Genomic DNA, 21,957 nt, shown 5'->3' with positions numbered 1-21,957 from the left:
TTGGGTCTGAATTTGAGAACTATGTAAGAGAAGGCATCAGAAAGAGAAAATTAGAAGAAAGGGAATGAGCTATTATCAAGTGTTTTTCATTAGACAAGAGGTTCAGGGTTCCATAAACTTGGAAGGAATAAAATCCATCTTTATTTTCACTCTTCTTTAACAAGTATTCGGCATTTTCTTCATTTACAAACGTAGGTTATAAACCCACAATGTGATTTTGTCAACAATAGAAATGACAAATATTTCCATGTACAGTATTACAGTTTGGCAGGTAAATCAAAATATCATTTATGTGCTTCTTTACCTCAAATTATAGTAGTTATCAGACCCTCAGCTTGATCTCTTATTTTTTAATACATGAACAAAGAAACATTACATTCTAACACATTTATTTTACCAAAACCTTTTGATAAATGTATCATAGTGTTGCTTTTGTAATTCCACATATTTTGTTTTATAAGTTTAAAAGTAATTGTTCTAGGGGTCCATAGGCTTCACCAGACTGCCAAAAATATATATAGTCAATAAAAGATTGAAATCCCATGGAAGACATTCTAAATATGTTAGTTTATCTAACCATCAAAATGATGCTATGATAAGTTTTCTTGTTCTGCTTTCACTGGTGAAACAAAAATTGAGTGTTAAAGAAGTTAAATGATGACCCCAAGCTTATTCTGTCATTACATGGCAGGGCCAGTAATTGAACTCCAAGTGGCTTGACGCTCTATTGCTCTTCCAGGCCCCTTCACTCTTCTGCTTGCTCCACTGGTAAAAGGAAGGAGGATTTGCTCAGTGGTCTTGATCAGGCCCCAAGTCTCTGAAAAGGTCTCTTGGCTGCTACCAAGTCAAGAGCCCCAGAAAGCAGGCCAGCAGGATGTTACAGAATGGGCAGAAAAGTAGACTCCCAGTGCTATCATTATCCCTCCTGGAGTGGCTCAGCTAAATTAAGCCAGGCCTCAGGGACCCCATCCTCCAGACGTGCTGCAGGGACCTAGCCTGACTATGTGCAGAGGCCTGAAGGGTGTATGCCTCTCCATTATAGAGACAGGTTCCATGGGTTTCGTTGCATACCTCAGCTCAGTGCCAGGGAGCAGGAACAGTATGAGAAGGAGGACTTCCAGGAGAAAAGATGGGGAGGAAATAAATTTTCTCTGGGCTTGTGCCTCTGTCCTGCAGAGTGACTTTACTTCTGTTCAACCATCATCCGTTGGGTCTTCTATGCCAATAATTTGTGAAATACTGAGATGCAAAAACAAGTTGTAGTTTCTACCAACAGGAGCTCATGGCTTAGGGGCAGTTACATGTACTGCTAGCTAATTCCAGGGTCCTTTGATGCTAATTCAGAAATCCCAGGGGGATGCAGAGATGAGAACAATCTCAAGACAGTGAGATAAGAGGAGCAATACAGGGAAGTGCAACAGGATGACAAAGAGGAGTTCATACTGGTTACTTAAGTAAACAACAGAAGTTTCCACCAAGGGCCTGAAAAGATGAATAGGAGTGTTCCCTGCAGGGTGGAGGACTGAATGGTGAACAGGTGGAAATAAGACTGGACTAAAGCACAGCTCACCTTCAGCAAGAGTGCTGAGTTCAGATTCCCCCAAAGGCAGAGCTGAGGCAAGGACTTGAGTGCAGGTGGTTTATTTGAGAGGATATGAAATTGAGGGAGTAGTGAAAGTAAGACAGAGAAGGAAGAAAAGCCAGTATAGAGGACATTTCTGAGTTGTTTACCACCGTAGGCAACAAGGGCTCAATGTACTAGGGGCCTGCTATAAAACCACATGGAACTCATCTCAGCACTGTTCCACTGGGGAATTGGGAGGCCTGAGTGGTTGAGATGAGGTTTGCTCTCAGGGAAATCAACTCCATCATACTTTTCACATTCTGCCTGCATGCAGCTGAGTAGCCTTTGGTGGTTTTGGAGACAGTAGAGAGCCACCCCTCTCTGCACTTGTGTGATGTTGTCTAGTTCATGGAGGGGTTCACCAAGGTGTGCTGAATCCAATAGGCTGAGAGGATGGGAGACATCACAAGAATCTACTACTACCAACATATGGCTTCTCCTCCCTGGACCAGAGGGAAGGAAAAAGAGTAAAAATAGAGGCTGAGAATCACACAGGAACCAAATGCTGCTCAGTCTCTTCCTGAGATTTGGACTGGGAGTTTATAAAACAAAACCAGTCCCTTTTGAGCCTTGTAAGCTGGAAGAAGCTGTTTCAGAGAGTCCTAATGTTTTGAATAGAGCAGGCCTTACCCAGATTTGAAAGTCTGAATGAAAGCCCCCTCCCCACTCCCAAATATTTTCCCCCAACTAAGCCCAAATTTTTCACTTCAGTTCCTGCCAGAAATCCTATCAATTAGATATTTATTTTCATATATTCTTTTTTGATATCAAGCAAATTATCACAATTTCACGTGGTTTCAGAAAATAAGTGCAAAAGGCTCAGGAATTATCCTAAGGAATAAAAATTTTTTTAAGTATAAAGATGTTCATTATAGCATTTTTTATTTTTATGTTTATGTGTTCAATATTCATTTTTAATGAGACAGAGTTAACACACAATAAAATGCACCGATTTTAAGCAGTTTGATGACTTTTGGCAAATTAACACATCCTGCTCTCATAACCACACCACAATCAAGATGTAGAACATTCCATTACCCGCAAAGTGTTCCTATACTCTGTTTGAAGATGATCCTCCTAACTCTGATGCCAGGCAACACTCATGTGCCTTTTATAACTGTAGATTAGTTTTGCTGCTGTAGAATGTCACATAAATGAAATCACACAGTATGTACTGTTTTAGGTCTGGCCTCTTTTATTCAGTATAATGTGTGAAATTTACCCAGGCTGTGGCATGCTTCAGTAGTCCTCTCCTTTTTGTTGCTTAACATTATTTCACTGAATTAATACACCAGAAATATTTATCCATTCAGCTATTGATAGGCATTTAGGTTGTATCCAGTTTTTGGCTATTATGAATCAAATTGCTATGAACATTCTCAAACAAATCTTTTTGTAGAGATGTTTTTATTTCTCTTGGGTAAATATGTAAGGGTGGCATTACTTGGTCATGGGATAGGTGAATGTTTACCTTTACAAGGAACTGCCAAAACTTTTCCAAAGTGGTTTTACCAGTTTTATACCCCCAGCAGCAATGTATGAGAGTCTCAGTGTTTCTGCATCTTTAACCACACTCCATATTGCGCGTCTTTATTTTATTTTATTTTTTTAACAGAGTCTTGCTCTTGTCAACCAGGCTGGAGTACAGTAGAGTGATTTCAGCTCACTGCAACCTCCACCTCCTGGGTTCGAGCGATTCTCCTGCCTCAGCCTCCCAAGTAGCTGGGATTACAGGCACCCACCACCACACCTGGCTAATTTTTTGTTATTTTTAGTAGAGACGAGGTTTCACCATGTTGGCCAGGCTGGTCTTAAACTCCTGACCTCAGGTGATCTGCCCACCTCAGCCTCCCAAAGTGCTGAGATTACAGGCGTGAGCCACCACGTCCAGCCAAGTGTTTTTAATTCTAGCCATTCTGGTGAATATGATCTAGGATCTCTTTGTGGTTTTAATTTGCATTTCTTGAATGACTTCTTATGTTGAACAGTTTTTGTGTGCTCATTAGCTATTTCCGTATTTTTTTTTTTTTTTTGAGATGGAGTCTCACTCTGTCGCCCAGGCTGGAGTCCAGTGGCACGATCTTGGCTCACTGCAAGCTCCGCCTCCTGGGTTCACGCCATTCTCCTGCCTCAGCCTCCCAAGTAGTTGGGACTACAGGCGCCCGCCACCACGTCTGGCTAATTTTTTGTATTTTTAGTAGAGACAGGGTTTCACCATGTTAGCTAGGATGGTCTTGATCTCCTGACCTCATGATCCTCCCACCTCGGCCTCCCAAAGCGCTGGGATTACAGGCGTAAGCCACCGCACCCGGCCTATAATGTTTTTTTTAAAAAATGAAACTACCTACATGGGGCAGGGTGAGGGGGCTCACACCTATAATCCCAGCACTTTGGGAGGCGGGGGTGGGCTGATCACTTGAGGCCAGGAGTTCAAGACAAGCCTGACCAAAATGGTGAAACCCCATCTCTATTAAAAATACAAAAACAAGCCAGGCATGGTGGTGCACGCCTGTAATCCCAGCTATTCAGGAGGTTGAGGCAGGAGAATCACTTGAACCCGGGAGGCAGAGGTTGCAGTGAGCCAAGATCACATCACTGCACTCCAGCCTGAGCGACAGAGTGAGACTCTGTCTCAAAAAAAAAAAAAAAAAAAAAAAAAAACCCTACATGTCAGAAAATAGAGGTTACATATTTACATATACAACATATACAACAGACTTCTTAAGCCTTCCACCAAGATACGGCAAACCATCCTTACCTAATTTATAATTGTGCCTGGAGTTGAGGTTGTTCAGACAGTTCTCATCAATATTCTATAAGTATCCTTTGTTAGCCGTTATTTTCCTCTTTACCTTTATGACAAGTGTCAAGATTTTGATTCTCAGTTTTTGTGATTTAATAATTTTTTTCAAGGAGTCAGTTTCAAATATGTTCTGCGGTTGACATGCTGCAATATATAGTACATACATATACGCATATATATAATTGCTTAAAAATAGCTCATGTGGTCTCATCTATATCATTATGATGAGATAGAGGAGATATTCACATTGGAATCTTGGTGGCTAGACAGATATTCATTGAGTAAGAATGAATTTTTATGTTACTAAATTAAAATTTTCCATTAAAAATTGTCCATAGGGACCAGGTGCAGTGGCTTACACCTATAATCCCAGCACTTTGGGAGGCCGATGCAGGCAGATCACATGAGGCCAGGAGTTCGAGACCAGCCTGGACAACATGGTAAAACCCTGTCTCTACTAAAAATGTAAAAACTAGCCAGGAGTAGTGGTGCATGTCTGTAATCCCAGCTACTCGGGAGGTTGAAGCGTGAGAATTGCTTGAACCTGGGAGGCAGAGGTTGCAGCGAGCTGAGATTGCACCAGTGCACTCCAGCCCGGGTGACAGAGTGAGACTTGAATCTATCTCAAAAAAAAAAAAAAAAACAACAACAACACATTGTTCATAGGATGCACTTAACCATGAACACAAACTACTGACCACTTAAATTAGGACTTCAAAATAACCAGAACTTTGATAAAGAAGAACCCACAGGAAGAGGTCATAACTGGAGATTTTTAAATACATGTTTAAAATAGCGATTTTAGAAATGATATGAGTACCGATGATAATAAGGTCTAGAATTTGCCATGGGTGAGGTAGCTAGAAAGCTGTGTGCTGATAAGCTATAATGAAGGAAATTATTTTTGGAAGTCATCAAGAAACCTGGAGGATAAGGCATTTGAAGTTTTATGCAGGTAGATGCTAATCTTGCACATAATATTTGAAGTTAGAAAAACTGGTCCTTGGTCCCAGATCTGCCTCTTATAGGTTGCATAGTCTTTTTCTCAGCTATTAATATAAAATGGTGATGACGATGATGATGATGGTAGTGTCCGGCAATGATGATATCAGACGATGATTATATTAGTGGTGACGACAAAAATGATGACTGATTAACTTGCCTATTCACAGCCTTAAGGACAGTATCTATGAAAGCAGTTTGTAAACTGTAAAGCTCAATACAAATATAAAATGTTGCTCTTATAATTTGAGGCATCACTTGGTCAGTATATTAGCTGGGGTTCAACCAGAGAAACAGAACCAGCAGGAGATATATATTAAGAAATCTGATTGCAAGGAATTTGCTTATGCAATTGTGGGGACTGGCTAGGCATGTCCAAAATCCACAGATCAGGCCATAGGAAGAGTAAGCTGAACCTTCAGGCACAAGCTGAAGCAGTCCAAAGGCAGAATTTCTTCTTCTGGGAAGCCTCAATTCTGCCCTTAAGAGCTTTCAACTGATTGAATCAGGCCTACCCAGATTATCTAGAGTAATTTCCATTGCTTAAAGAAAACTGATTATGAACTTTGACCACATCTGCAAAATGTCTTGACAACACCACCTAGATTAATGTTTGATTGAATAATGGGGGACTATAACCCAGACAAGTTGACACATAAAACTGACAATCACAGTCACATACTATTTTGTGTTCATGAGTTACTTATTTAGCTTCTTTGAGCCTGGGTTTCTACATCTCTGAAATGGGAATCACTGTCTTCTTCACAGGGCAGTCATGAGGATCCAGTGGTATCCTGTGTTTAAATGAATATTAACCATAGTAGTCCACCTTATCCGCAGGGGACACATTCCAAGGCCCCTAATGGGTGCATGAAACCACAGATAGTACCACACCCTATACTGTTTTTTTCTATACGTACACACCTATGATAAAGTGTAATTCGTAAATTAGACACAGTAAGATATTAACAACAATAACTAGCAATAAAATAGAACAGCTATAAAAATATAGTAGTCCCCCCTTATCCCTACAGGATGGCCTCCCAGACCTCCAGCAGATGTCTAAAACTGTGGATAGCACTAAACCCTAGCCAAGGAACATCAAGGCCACCTTTTCACTTAAAGGAAGCACTCACTTTACAGCTTCTCTTTGGTATATCCAAATTGCCAGCATCACTACTCTTGCACTTTGGGGCCATTATCAAGTAAAATAAGGGTTATTTGAACACAAGCATTGCAGTATTGCAACAGTTGATCTGATAACCAAGGCCACTACTAAGTGGCTAATGGGCAGGCAACATTACAGTGTGGAAACGCTGGACAAAGGGATAATTCTCATCCCAGGCAGGACAGTGTGAGATTTCATCACACTACTCAGGATGGAATTCAATTTAAAATTTATGAATTATTTCTGGAATTTTCCATCTAATATTTTCAGACTGTGGTTGACCAGAGGTAACTGAAACTGCAGGAAGTGAAACCATGGATAAGGGGGGACTACTGTATAAGAGTGAAAATTAAGGAGCTATCAACACCAGGAAATTAAGTTTAGCTAGCTAACTCATAGAAATGAAACCTAGACCCTGGGCCTCCCTGGTACCAGTTCTTAGTTAACAAGAAAAAAAAAAATTACCACCTACCCATGTATCTCACTGATAACGTGTATAAATTTGTCAGCTACCTAAGAGACTGAGTGTGATTGAAAATAGTGTGATTCACACCACAGTTCTTTAAAAAATAATTCTCATGTAAACAATGTTTTAAAATGTTTCACTAACACCAGCCTGTCATCCAAGCTGACACCCTTCTATGGTCCTGGACAAGGCTCAGTTCCCTTGCTTTGTCCTTGGGGAGCTGAGCAGAACAATTGCTTTGAGTCTCACAATCTTCTGAACCAATTCAGCTTCCTAATAATGATATTTAAATCAAACTCACTTTGAGTAGATGGCTGAGCCATCTCCTTTATGAAGGAGAAAAATCCCTAGCACATACCATAAACCCCACATAAACCAAGCAATATCAAATATTCAGATCAAGGTGAATAATATGCAAAATAAAGATTTCTTCTACATGTACAATAATGGTGCTTTGGAATTCATTTTTCAAATTTGCGTCTTAAAGTTACGTTCTCCAGGCCAAAAAATAATTGCAAGTTCATCTCAGCAGGTTGAGAGAAACTCAGATTTTGTCTGAGAAGATACTTTTGCAATTTGTGGAGGATGGCATTTGGGAGGATATTAGGTTCTACAGTAGTTAGGATCAGGCGTTAATAGCCACATGTAATCAGATCCAAAATAACGCTAAAGCTAATGGAAGATACAGCTTTTGTCAATTCTCAAGAATGCCAATCTTCCCAAATAGAATTTCATTCACCTGCCCAATTTTCACTGGGTCAAATCACATCAGATATTTTATAATCACCAATTCCCAGACAGCCAAGCAATTGAATATAATAAAATCCTTAAATGTCTCTCTTGCCCATGTTCTATAGTTCAACTCCATCTTTTCCTCTCTTATTTTTCTATATGCTTTACCCCAAATCAAAGATCAATTGGTCCTAAGTATTCATTTATTTATTATTTTTTTTTTTTGGTACAAAAACCACATATTATTCCCCCCCACAACAAGGTCATAAGTATTTAATCAGCAACAATCTTTGAACACCTACTATGTGTCAGGCACCTTTATAATAAACTGAGATTATAATAAAATATAATATTCTCTTGATTTCAGAGACCAGGGTATGTGACAGATAATTTTAAAAATCTCTATAACATGAGATGTGAAATAAGAGATACATGAAAGTGCTCTAGGAGCCCAGAAGGAGAAATGCCAAATATAGCTGAGCAGGGGGACAAAAAGCTTGAGTTGCTCCTTGAAGGTGGGAAAGTACCTTCCAGACACAACTGACACCTAATGAATATTTAATACATATCCTAAAGTCAGCTGAGTACTTTAAGTGTGTTAAACAGGAACGATAATAATCTTCACTTAAACACAGAGAGGATGCATAACTTGCTTTTAAGGTCAGGTATAGTAGGAAGTGACACTCAGATAGTAACTAGAGTCCACTAAAGGCTTCATTCAGTATAGAAGTAGGTAAAAGATGGAACTAGGAGCATTGTCCAGGCTAAGCAGTAAACAGCAACAAAGAAAGCCCAGCATGAAAGATCACGGACAATTAGGAAGCAATGCTGAACATCTTGTGAGTCCCATTCTCTTGAAAATACAGAGTAAAAATTTAGTGAACATTTCAGTCCTTTGGAAACAATTCAACCTGCTTGTCATTCAACTGAGCTGATATTTCCCATCTCTATGGATTTTTTTCTTAGACTTTACAAAAGCCATCCACTCTATGGACATGTCCACTCTGTCTATCACTAAGTGGACATATCCATGTCATTTAATGCAGATCCACCTATAGGAAACAATCCTTAAGAAGAGAGACCATGTCTTATTGATCTTCTGTATCCCCTGAGGACCAAGCCCAGACATAGAAACAAAACAACATCCAATACATGGTATCTCTCTTTCTCTCTCTGAAACTCAGTACATACCAGCAGAAAAATTATTTCAAAGTATTTTGCCAAATTACTTCATCTTTGACTTTCATAAAGGTCAGAAATAATTGGGAAACAGCATCTGGCTGAAACTGACTCCAAATAAGGGTGTCACAAAAATTTCTCCCAGAAAAGTTTAGGGTATTGTATTTGTTTTCTAGGGCTGTCATAACAAAATGCTACAGACTCCGTGGTTAAACAACAGAGTTTATTTGCTCACAATTCTAGAGTCTGGAATTCCAAGATCAAGGTGTTGGCAGTTTGGGTTCTCCCAAGGCCTTGCTCCTAGGATTGCAGATGGCTGCCTTCTCACTGTGTCCTCATTTGGCCTTTTCTCTTCTCATGACTTTCTCCTCTTATAAAGACACTAGTCCTGATGGATTCAAGCCTCAACCTTATGCCCTCATTTAATCTTAATTATCACTGTAAAGGCTCTATCTCCAATTCAGTCAGGGCTTCAACATATAAATTTTGCAGGAACACAATTCAGTCCATAGTAAGTGCCTTTATGAAAGGAAGGGAGAAAGAACCATTTTAAGGGTCTAATTTGAGGATGTTGCTAGAAATAACTTGTATGTGTCTTTACTGGGGAGCGTTACATGAGAAATTTGGCATAAAACACATTTCATTGTCTATACCGTGTTGTCTCTGTGAAAACAGTTAAATAAAATGAAGAAAATTACTTGTCTTTCCATTCTTCCCTAACCCCTTCCTCAAGATAGATGAGCCATCTTTAAGGAGGCCAGCATCCATCTAACAACTTTTGACTCAGTAAAATCTCTTCTAACCAATAGTGGCACCTTGGGATGAGTGACTTTTGACCTTCCATAGACTCCAATATCCCTCAAGTCATGCATGTCAAGTAATCATATACCCTAAATAAAAACAGTGAGTCTACTACAAGCAAAGAGTTTCAAAATATATTTCCTCTCACCTCTTTCCAGTTAGAACACCACTTTTAAAGCCCAACTGACAGAAAACCTCAAGCCATTGCTGTTTTCAGTCAACTGTTATTCAGAATACCAGACAAGCATTCTGTTCAGAATAGAAGATCGAATGCATGGAGTTATCTCTCTACAATATTCCATCAAAAAATCACATTAAAATTCCAATGATTGTAATAAAGAAGTTAAAAAGTGAACAAATCCATATTAGCACTGACAATGGGGAGGACAGAAGGAGCACCAGCAGATCTGAAAGTTTAGCAAAGTAATGGAAGAGAGAAAGCATATGGAATCGTATCGACAGACAAAACAGGATGAGGAAGCTGCATTAAAAGAGTAACCTCACTTGTGTACATACTCTCTGCCTCATGCCTTTAAGTGAAACCTGTTAACTGCTATGACCCACAGAACTTACAGACAGCAAGAAGAAAAGAAGGAAATTTCCCAGAACGAAGGTCCAAAACACTTGGGATGAAAGGCCCAGGCCCACCAAATGCTGAGCAAAATGAGAAGGACACATCCTCATAAACCATGAGCACACCAAGCAGGGCTATGCCTCTGGATGTACAGGCTTTACTCTGCACAACAGCACCCAGCTGAAGGGGCCAGTGGAGATCAAATCCAGCGCATACTTACCAAGCCAGGCTCTGTGGTGCAGGGCTGCAGGGCTGCACCCACCTAGAGGAAGGACACTTTTTGTACTCCACATCAATATGCCATAACAGCAACCCTACCGCCAAGGGAAAAGAAAGTGTCCTAAATCTTACAGAGAAAGAGAAAAATTTTTTAAACAGGTTTTTATAAGAATACCATGGATCAATGCTATGGTAGACATAGAGATGCGCTACCTTGATCCCCTTTCAAGGAAGACCTGCTACCCAGATGAACGGACTACAGTGAGCACAGAGCCTCCAGCTGTCAGCTCCTTCAGGGTCAGCTTCAGCCACTTCACGCAAGGTCATTCCCTTCCCAGAGCAGCATGTATCTGGTGACAGACAGAGGGAGGGCATAAGCGTTCAACCATTTCTGCCCAGCAAATAATATCCATGAGTATTATGAATACCCATGACCCAGGGCACCTGCCATGTCGGCTGAGGCTTTTTCAAGACTGTCTCCGTTCAACTGCTCAGTTAGCCCAGTCTTCCCGTTGCCTCCTTCCTTTTGCAGGTGTTGATCCTTAATAAAGATTTTGTTCCCTAAACTCCATCTCTGCTTCTGGGGAACTCAACCTGCAGCAAATGGCTTCAAAGCTTGCAGGAAAAGTAATCTTGAATCTCTAGTCTTACACGAAAACTTGTTACTCAAATGTGAAGGCTAAATATTAAATCATGCAAGACTCAGAGATATCTCCTTATACACCCTTACTGAGAAAAAAAATACTTGAGGATAAACTTGAGACCAAAAGAAAAAAGAAAAACACAAAATAGAAACCATGAAAACAATAAGCCAAATTTACTAATACATTTAAAATAAAAACCAGAGAGAGAACTATGCAATTGGCTGTGAAAAATAAAAAGCCCCAACAAGAACATTTAGATAGAGTTCCAAGAAAAAAGTCTCCATTAAAAAGTAGATTCCAGGGCGGGGCACGGCGGCTCATGCCTGTAATCCCAGCACTTTGGGAGGCAGAGTTGGGTGGATCACGAGGTCAGGAGTTCGAGATCAGCCTGACCAACATGGTGAAACCCCATCTCTACTAAAAATACAAAAATTAGCTGGGCATGGTTGTGGGCACCTGTAATCACAGCTACTGGGGAAGCTGAGGCAGAATTGTTTGAACCTGGGAGGCAGAGGTTGCAGTGAGCTGACATCACGCCATTGCACTCCAGCCTTGGTGACAGTGTGAGACTACATCTCAAAAGAAAAAAGAAAAAGAAAAAAAGTAGATTCCAATTTGATAGGTAATGTGATGAAGCAGGAACATCTTTGTAAAATGGTAAAGAATTTGTTTCTTTTCCGTAAGAAAAATGAAAATTAGAAGCTTCAGACAAAAACGGAATCTATACAAAAAGCTACAAATATGAAGCAAATTCATGTGTCATGATTTTGAGGTGCTGAAGCAAATTGAAATAAGCTTGGGTGGTGAGAAGGTGGTGGTGTAAGTTGCACATGCTCTGTGTTATTTCTCATCTCAGAAGGGCCAGTCACTCTACTTGGTTTGGGGTGAATAATATATAATCATTATATTGCTAATGACCCGCATTGGTGCTTGATTTTTGAATCCAAGCTACAGGCAAAGCATATTTATAAAACAGAATGAAAAAGTAATAAACCTTGATGATGTTTAATGATGTTGTTGGAAGATTGTGAGAATTGGTAGGGGGAAAAGTGAAAATTCAGGGCTTCTAATTTCATCTAACATCTCTCATAGCAGCAAGTCAAATTTATTTCAACTTGACAGATCAAGATGTAGCATTTGATGTAACTTTTTAAAATTATTAACATACCAATAGAAGAACCTGGACTAATAATATAACTATAAAAAATAGGATAAGAGAAGAGAAAATGGGACAAGTAAGACAGTCCTTTGCCACTCATAATAGGAGTCTATAGCTGATGTTTAAAATTAATAATTAGAGAAACAGGTTTCACATACTATTTAGAATTACACAGGTAACCACTGGAAGAATTAAAAGTAGAAAGGGTTCACCTGTGGGAAGTGGATCAGAGGAGAAAAGGGATGGGACAAGGAACAGTTGATTTTCATTGTATGTGCTTCTGCACTGTTTGTATTTACATTTCTGTGTGTATGAACACTTCACCTGGCTTCTGTTCTTCCTCTGCCCCTTGGACGAGCTCTCATATATGACTCTCTGTCTTAATTCTGATGTTTCTCTCACCTTCAGAGCAGTTTCCCCTTGTGTCTACCTGTTCCATATGGCACAATCCCAGGACCCAGGAAAGAGATGGCTCAGTCTCTGTTACCCACTTTCCTAGGCACCAGCCTCTGCTTGATAGGAGAGGAGTAGCTAACAAAACCTTGCCTCCATAAGTGACTTACAAGTGCCTTGATTAACTCTCTCTGTGTACCTAGAAAGTCCAGCATAATCATACATGCATGGGTCAATTCTTAGTTCTCTATTGCACTGATTCAGTCACTAGCCATGTGACATTAAGTAGGCCACTTCACCTCTTGGGATCTGTTTCCTCACCTGTAAAATGGACAAGAATAAAATCCAAACTTCTGTGTCAATGACCAATTTAGTCCACACAGGTAGACAAGATTTAAGACATACCCCTTGAAAAAGAAATGATAGATCTTAAAGACATTTCAATATTCACCTAATCACAAGTCCGAGTAAGATGTGAAAAAAGGTTTTTGGCAGCTGGCTAGACACTGGAGCATTTTTCTATGTCCCCTGGAGGATCCAGCAGAGTAAATTTTGCCTGAACTGAACATCTTTGAGCTGTGTGACCTGGAACAGGCCACTTCACTAATCTGGGCCTCAGTTCCCTCATCCACAAGATGACAGAAATATAATAGATGCTCTTTGGAGACCCTAAGCAAGTCTAGGGTCTTGGAAGTCTGCCTGCCCTTAGCATCTCAACAGCTCCCAAGTTTATGGCTCAGCAGTGCAGCCCTGGCAGTCCAAGAAAGAAACCACACCACCTTCTCTACCCCCAGCATTTCCAGGATCTCTACTAAATCTGACCCAAAGAAACAAGATGGTGCTTCTGGCCACTTCTATTACTGATCCTTTGCCTCATGTCCTGGATTTGCTCTTTATCTGCTTCATTGGACTCAGTGCCTTAGTCCATCCCTCCTTCCCTGGCCACCTTTTCCCAGAACAGGAGTGCCAGTTCTGTGCCCTATGCCCTACAGCCTTGGGCCAGCCACAGGGTCACTCTGGATCGTGAAGTCCTGAATAGCCCTACCATTAAATTAAAGTGATTTTTCAAGCAATGAGTTGTAGTAAAATCCCCATCCAAAGAAATCCACAAGTGAAACACTCAATACATAATTGGTATTATCATTAAAGGTCGAAAATCAGTCATCTATGAGGAATGGAACAATTATTTGGAACTAAATCTCCACCAGCACATGGGGACCAGGAAAGGTGTCTGGCACACCATCAGGGAGTCATTTGGCCTGGAGAGCTCATTGCACTGGCAAATGAGAATTAGATCCTAATTATCCCATTGGCAGGTTTCAGAAATTTTTAAAACATATTTTCTACAACTGTCACAGTGTCGAAACAATTATTTGCCTACTTAAGCAGGTGTCAGGCATTGTAAAGTGTATATGTCTTTGTAAAATTAAACAGGAAACTTTCTGAAATTGCAGTGTAATCTGGGTCCCTAATTACAGCATATATAGATACCTAAAGTCAGGAGGCAAAGAGAAAGAACACTGACTTTCCTTTTTCTCTCTTTTTCCCCTGAGGCACTGAATTCTGAGTGCACACACAGGTGAAGGTAAAATATGCCACCTGAATATCAGGGAGGGATTCCAAGCCATTTTGCCTACCATCCTTGCCTCTGAGCCAGCATTGATTATAAACATGTATTAATTTTATCTGCACAGTCTGTAGAGTTAACCTATCTTGTCTCCTTTGACCCTCAACAATAGCCCCTTAAGTTCAGCCAGGCAGCACCTTTGTGTAATTTTATAGATGCACAAACTGACTAATGAGCGGTGCTTCAAGCCTCCTGATTCTAATAAACCTGTTTCTTCTACATCCCCTCCCCTTCCCCCATGTAGCTGCCTTTCTTCCTGGTCCATTAACTAAACCTCTGCTAGAATTACCTTGATGTTCACCTTCCTGTTGCTGTTTCATGGACTCTGAGACTCTTGGACAGGTGGTCAGGAAGTGAAACTGGCAGCCACCAACAAAGGGCCCCTTGAGCTATTCACAAATAATAGACATTGTATTAATGCTGAATGAAAGTTTGACAAAAGTATTAACACCAGGAAAGGCTCCCCAAATACAAGGAGTACTGAACTCAACAGATGTTAGTTTGTAGCCTACTATGGACAAGGCATTGTGTACAATGCAGGGGTATTATACACAAAAGAAGGCAAGATTTCTTCTCTCAAGAAGCCCACACTTGAGTCAGAAAGATAGATATGCTCTTATTTTCTAAAAATTATAGCAACCCTTGTGAAGGTATAAACTGCTCAAAAACCAAAGAGGAAAGGACATCACAGGTTGGGGTCATGAGACTTCATAGGAGATAAAATATGAGATGATTCTTGAAAGACAAGGAAGATGCTGGCAGGTGGTAGTGGGGGAAAATATGGTACTTTCTGCTCAGTGATACACTCTCAATCCTAGTTGACCCCTTCTCAGATGGAAACCTTCCCTGCACCCCCAAGTCTGGGTTAGTTGGCATTCCAATGGGTACTGAGACTGTATTAGTCTGTTCTCACACTGCTATGAAGAAATACCCGAGACTGGGTAACTTATAAATAAAAGAGGTTTAATTGACTCACAGTTTCACATTGCTGAGGAAGCCTCAGGAAACTTACAGTCATGGCAGAAGGTGAAGAAGAAGCAGGCATCTTCCTCACAGGGTGGCACGACAGAGTGAGTGCAAGCAGGGGAAATGCCAGATGCTTATAAAACCAACAGATCTCATGAGACTCACTAACTATCACGAGAACAGGATGGGAGAAACCACTCCCATGATCCGACTACCTCCACCTGCTCCTGCCCCTGACACGTGGGGTTGATGGGGATTACAATTCAAGATGAGATTTGGATGGGGACACAGCAAAACCATATCAGAGACCAAATCCCTGCTCACCCTTCCCATTTTCTCTCCCACTCCGTGCCTCCCTGCAGGTTTCTCTTGATAGCACCCCCTCAAAAAAATCCCATAAACCCAGATCCCTGTGTCAAGATCTTGAATATAAGACATTTTTCTAAGAAGCTCTTCTGGAGCTCCATTTCCTCACCTGTAAAACCCTGTTAATACATCACAAATGGCTGTGAAAACAAGGTGATGTAGTTTTAAGTTCCTTGTACAATTCTGGGCTCAATAAATCATGGCAAAGACTTTTATTCTCCTTTATCTACATTTCAAGAGCATTTCTGGCCTCTGGGATATGAAACAAAGAGACCCCAGGTAGCAGCATCAGGTGTCAGCTGCGGCTGAGGGACCAGAGCAACTAGGAGTTTGTAAATGCAAGAGGCACCAATCAGCCTATGCATACTGATGGGCCAGTCAGGACTTGCGCCAACCAAGTGCATTTTGTACCCAATTTACCACAACTGGTGGGGGCAGGGAGCTGGGAGAGGAGGTGGTGGAAGGGGACAGGTGGCAGGGCAGTGGGGTGCCATTGGAGGAGTTTCAATTTGTAGGTTAGCGTCACTGTTTACCTTTTAAGCAGAAGGGCAAAGAGATCGCCCACCAGATAAAATGGCTGTCTCTGAAATATTGCTTCCTGACTCCACTGTTTCATCTCCATTGGCTTCTGCCTCCCTCTACCCTCTCCTTTCAGGCTGGCTTCCCACAATCACTGCAGGGTGAGCCCGAGCTGATGAGGGCACCTGGCTTTGGCGGCAGCTCTTCAAAGCTAGAGGTCAGGTGTGCTTCTAGGATTTAATTAAGCTAGAAATGAAATCCAGCCCTGGAGTGGCTCATCGTCTTTATTATCACATTTCTTACTGCTTGTCAGGCCACAGCGGCTGCAGGTCTTGAAAAAGAAGAAGCGGCATGCTTCCTAGGCGGGGCTCAGTTAATCTATTTCACATGGCATTTCAGGTACATTCCTCCATTTTAGGATGGGAGAAAAAGACAGTATTCTCAGGGACCTTTCTGGGAAAAGGATTACTTTTAAATGAGCAAAGGTAATTCGTATTATAATATGTGCCCACTATAAAAAAAGTATAAGAAATAACAGAAAGAATGTTAAAAATCACTGTAATCTTACCAGCTAGAGATAAACACGGCTTGTATTATAGTCTCCTTCCTGCCAAGTTACAGGTTGTAAAAGAGAACAAAAGAAAGAGTTCTGATGCTGTAGAAGGGGGGGTTCTGAGTCACTGTATAAACAAATCATATTTTTCACTCATGTATGTACTCACTAACATTAATTTATATAGGATACCCATTCACTGAGATCAATGTTCCCCCACTTTCAAACAATGTGGAACTAGAAAAAAAATCAGGACTTAAAGGAATTTTCATGCTCAGTAATACTAGTCACATTGCAGTCATGTTTTCTATGCCTAATAACATATTCTATAGTCTCTCAGATTAATCAAATGAGATGAGGGGATTTATACACTGCTGTGCACTGAGAAGGGGGCTTAACAATCTCCCAAAGTAATATCATTTGACAGTCGGTGCTATTAGACTGCAACTGCAAAGGGTATTCATTTTTTAGCCTGATTTGTGTTCTGCAGGTGGCAGTCCCCTTCATGTCCCCTTAGTGTGGTGAGGTTTGGCAGCTACAGGGCACTGACCTTTCTCACTCTGGAGATGTGATTGCTTTCACACTGATTGCGCAGAAACACTTAGCAAATCTCACACTGTTAACTCCATCCCACACCAGCAATGTTGGCATTTTCTGACTGTTATGTGGCATTAGCCAGCTGAAAACTCACTAAGATGAGGAAGCTGTGCTGAATTAATAACTTCTGAGACAGTCATTTAGTCAGTTTTCATGAAATTAATAAGTTCCACCTTGGCCAATGGTAAAAGTCACAAAATCATGAACTGTCAAAGATGGAAGGAAGCTTCAAAAACTCCTAGTTCAACACATTCATTTTACAGGTAAAGGGAACTGAGCACTAAAAAAAGGAAGGGATTTTTGTTTTCAAGATCATAGAGCTAGAATGGAGTAGTGGTTTTCAACCTGTGCAGTGACAGCTTAGATTTAAATGGAATCCTGCATGCATAACTGCAACATATATGAAACATCTAAGAAAGAAGGACTGTGACTGAAGTAAGGTGGGAATTCATAGCCTCACCCACTCCTTGTCCATCTCAGCTCTGGGGGAAGCACTGAGTTTCCATGAAGCACAGATCAAACCACCTTCTTACAGCATGCTGGCCTCAGTTACATTTCTCACACCTCCAAATACTCTCTATATAAACAAATAGTCTCTTTTAGACTGATAAATAATTTGAAATGTAAGAGTGTGATCTCACGGTTTTCTCATTTGCTAAAGGAAGACAATAATGATCTCTGCCACAGCAAAGGAAATATCCATTAGAAGTTGAAAAGATAATGAAAACGAGTAGACATTGTGATGGCCTCCCTTAGCATCCATTTCAGCCCTGGTCCACTGTAGAACTGCTATGTGGTTTAGGCAGGGACTGACGCCAGCTCCAGCTTCAAGGATGGTCTAGGACTGGTCTAAAGCAGTTAGCTATAGGTAACCACTGAATTGGCAAATGTCAATAATAGGGTAAGTATGTGATAGTTAATTTTATATGTCAAGTTGACCAGGCCACAAGGATGCCCAGATATTTGGTTAAATGTTATTTCTGAATATGTCTGTTTCTGGATGATAGTAACATTTGAATCAGGAGACTGAGCCTTCATCCAACCTGTTGAAAACTTAAATAAAATAAAAGGATGCATAAGAAAGAATTTTTCCTCTCTCTGTCTGACTGTCTTCAAGCTGGGACATCGGTCTTCTACTGCCTCCAGACATGGACTCAGACTGGAACTTACACCATTGACTCTCCTGGTTTTCAGACTCAGACTTGAAATGGAATTTACACCATCAGCTTTCCTGGTTCTCAGGCCTTTAGTCTCAGAATTTAAGTATACCATCAGCCTCTTGTGTCTGGACTTCTCAGCCTCCATAATCATGTAAGCAATTCTTTGTAATAAATCTAGACAGATAGATGGATACATAGATAGATACCTAGATACATAGAGACATATAGGGATATATACATACATATACATTCTATTGGTTCTGTTTCTCTGGAGAATGCAGATTAATTCAAGAACAAACACTGACCTTGGTTTGGGCAAATCAGACAAGGTTTTCTAATTGAAAAAGTACAGAAGGAAGTCAGAGTGGTAAAAATATACAGCAGAGAGGTCAACCCTACTCTCCAAAGGAATTATAAGCTTCAAAAATTCTCAACAATAGACCCACAGTTGCATATGATAAATTTGAGAGAGGAAGATCACATTAGACTTTCTGGACACCCAACTGCCCTCCTCCATTAATAAGGGTGGACTTGCCCTGCATGTTAGGTAGCCTGAATAAATATTGGGGTGCCCTCATTTGGGTCAGTTGCACACCATTACTTTTGGAACTATACAATTTATGATTAAACTAAAGTTGGTGGCCAGCCCAGTACAAAATACTTGGACATAAACATAGCCCTATTTTTCATTCTCAGCCTTCCCAAGCTAATATAGCCTGGTCCAGTGACTCTCTGAACTAAAGATTTTCAAATCAAAAGGGGCTCTGTTACCCAGGTATCCTTACCAGTCAGACCAAGAGGTCATTGAGCTGCTTGATCAACCCTCACCTAAAGTTGGTACTTATTGCACAAGCCAATAAATTCCCTTTGTTTAAGCAGGTTGACTTGGGTTCTTTGATACTTACAATGGAGAGCACACTTATTGATATGCAAACACATGGAGGCCTCCTAAGTTCATGAAAGCCTGAGACACTTAAATGCTTCCAGTCGTATGAAGATAATTCACTTTAAGAACTCTTCAGTATTAGGCCATAAATTCAATCCTTGACTCAACAATCTAGATCAACAAATATGTGGAAACCTAGTCTGTACTGGAGTCTGTGATGGGCAGTGGGCTAAAAAGAACGAATCCCTGCTCCAAGACAGTAACATCTTACCAAATACTAACAGTAGCAATGAGATTGGAAGGGTCTGCAAGTTATTTTTCAATACTTTGAAAGGCCCAAGAGAAAAACCACATACGTAAGCAGAGTCAGACTGGCTAAATATGTTTGGGCTCTGGTTACCTTTGAATAAGGTTACACTGGTTATTCTAAGGTGTTGAGTTCTGATTGGAAGTTAGAAATGGAAAAACAAATTTAAGACTAAAAAATAAGTTTAATATGTTTTCTTTTAATGATAGATAAATTCCAATACAGATAGATGAAGAAGGAGGAGGAGGAAAAGGAGGAGGAAGAGGAAGAAAGTGGGGAAAAGGAATGAAAGAATTAAATGGGAGGCGATGATTCAATCTGTAATTAAATCACTTTCACACTTGCTAAGGTATCTTAAACTTCATTCTTCTGAACTGCTTCATTTTCACCTCTGCTTACTTGGAAGAAAAGCCACCTTTGAAAACACCAGAACATAAGAAGCTAATAAAGATGAATGAATAGCTTCATTTTCTCTCACTTTACAGCACAAGAACAACATAATTCACAAAGTACAGACTGAGCTCCCAAAAGAGATACTGATTTAATTGCCTAGGGCTGCTGTACAAATTACCACAAACTGGATGGCTTAAAATAACAGATAGCTATTCTCTCACATTTCAGAAGGCCAGAAGATTGAAATCAAAGTGTCAGTAGGACCATGCTCCCTCCAAAGGCTCTTGGGCAGCATCTTTTCTTGCCTGTTCTAGCTTCTGGTGGTTCCTGGCATTCCTTGGCTGGTAGCAGTATCACTCCAATCTCTGCCTCTGTCTTCACATGGCAAATCTCCCTCTCCTTTCTCTTATAAGGATACTGGTCATTGGCTTAGGGTCCACCCTAAATCTAGGATGTTTACATCTGAAGACCTTAACTTAATTCTATCTTCATGGACCCTATTTCTTTCTTTCTTTCTTTCTTTCTTTTTTTTTTTTTTTTTTGAGATGGAGTCTCACTCTGTTGCCCAGGCTGTAGGGCAGTGGCGCAATCTAGGCTCACTGCAAGCTCCCATCCTGGGTTCACGCCATTCTCCTGCCTCAGCCTCCCAAGTAGCTGGGACTACAGGTGCCTGCCACCATGACTGGCTAATTTTTTTTTCTTTTTTTTGTATTTTAAGTAGAGACGGGGTTTTACCGTGTTAGCCAGGATGGTCTCCATCTCCTGACCTCATGATCTGCCCGCCTCAGCCTCCCAAAGTGCTGGGATTACAAGCATGAGCCACCGCGCCCAGCCCAAGGACTCTATTTCTAAATACAGTCACATTCACATTCACAGTTACTGGGGGTTAAGACTTGTGGATATCTTTTTTGAGAGACATTATTCAAGGTTCCAAGTTGGTGAATGCACACACCTGATTTTTACATCCATTTTTCCAATTGCCTGAGGAAATAACCACCTAAACCAACACCAGTCCCTCAAAAGGCATAACTGAAACTGAACTAATTCTGATTCCTCTCAAATGTTTTTCTTTTTCTGTCTCTTACTAGTAATGTCCCACATTGAATCAGTCGCCATACTCTATTTTACCTCTAAAATCTCTCTCACGTGCATTTCCTTTTTCAAACACAACCACTATTTCACATGTTTGTACTCCTTCTCATGAACCAGCTTCACAGTTAGCCTCCCTGACCCTGGCTCCACAATCCCCTACCACTAATCCATCCTCCTCACCACTAAATGATTGATTTTCCTGAAATAACAGTTTGCTCAAAAGCCAGCAATGACTTCCCCCACTTACATCTTGTCACATTCCACACTTACTTCAAGAGCTATTTAGGCTACCCAAGTACAACTCACTCCAAAAAACTTTCTGTAATTTCCCCAAGTAGAAATGTTCTCTTCTCTGAATACCTATAGTTCATCTTCTCCGCCTCATATTAGTTTAGTCATTGGCTGTGTGGGGCAGTAATCTACAGTCATTTCCATTAAAGTCAGACTTATCATTTCTCCCCTAACAAATGCTGAATCACAGTCACATATCGAATCCTTTATTAGTCATTTCTTGAGATTTCTCTTCATCCTTGCTTCTCTGAGTACTAATGCTTATTTTTACTGGGCCCCAACATGATTCTACCTTCTTCACTCTGCCAAAGCTGATTGGACCTGGACAAACTTTGGAACAGTCAGATGCTCTTTCTTGGACTTGAAAATTAAGGCTGAGAAGTTACAGTTCCTTCGGGGACTTCTTATTTGAACAGAAAAGAAATTTCTTTTCATT

At 40.6% G+C, this 21,957-nt stretch overlaps 1 long non-coding RNA gene across 21 annotated transcripts in view, besides 2 other annotated features; it reads right to left on the bottom strand.

Moving 5' to 3' along the window:
* LINC01811 (long intergenic non-protein coding RNA 1811) overlaps positions 1-21,957 on the bottom strand; it is a 276,733-nt gene that overhangs the window by 235,879 nt on the left and 18,897 nt on the right. The gene's annotated exons all lie outside the window — the stretch shown is intronic.
* Positions 1,622-1,731: an enhancer, noted in NCBI's record as "active region_19655". NCBI's record gives its function as "activates an Ori minimal core promoter by ATAC-STARR-seq in GM12878 lymphoblastoid cells {active_cell/tissue: GM12878}" and the evidence as "EXISTENCE:reporter gene assay evidence [ECO:0000049][PMID:35858748]".
* Positions 8,381-8,882: an enhancer, noted in NCBI's record as "NANOG hESC enhancer chr3:34232828-34233329 (GRCh37/hg19 assembly coordinates)". NCBI's record gives its function as "activates a minimal SCP1, AML or CMV promoter by ChIP-STARR-seq in naive H9 embryonic stem cells {active_cell/tissue: H9 hESC(naive)}" and the evidence as "EXISTENCE:reporter gene assay evidence [ECO:0000049][PMID:30033119]".

The sequence above is a fragment of the Homo sapiens genome, chromosome 3, assembly GCF_000001405.40.
Source record: "Homo sapiens chromosome 3, GRCh38.p14 Primary Assembly".
Taxonomy (NCBI): Eukaryota; Metazoa; Chordata; class Mammalia; order Primates; family Hominidae; genus Homo; species Homo sapiens.
The sequence above is the reverse complement of the archived record's forward strand: the minus strand, read 5'-3'. Positions and strand labels throughout refer to the sequence as shown.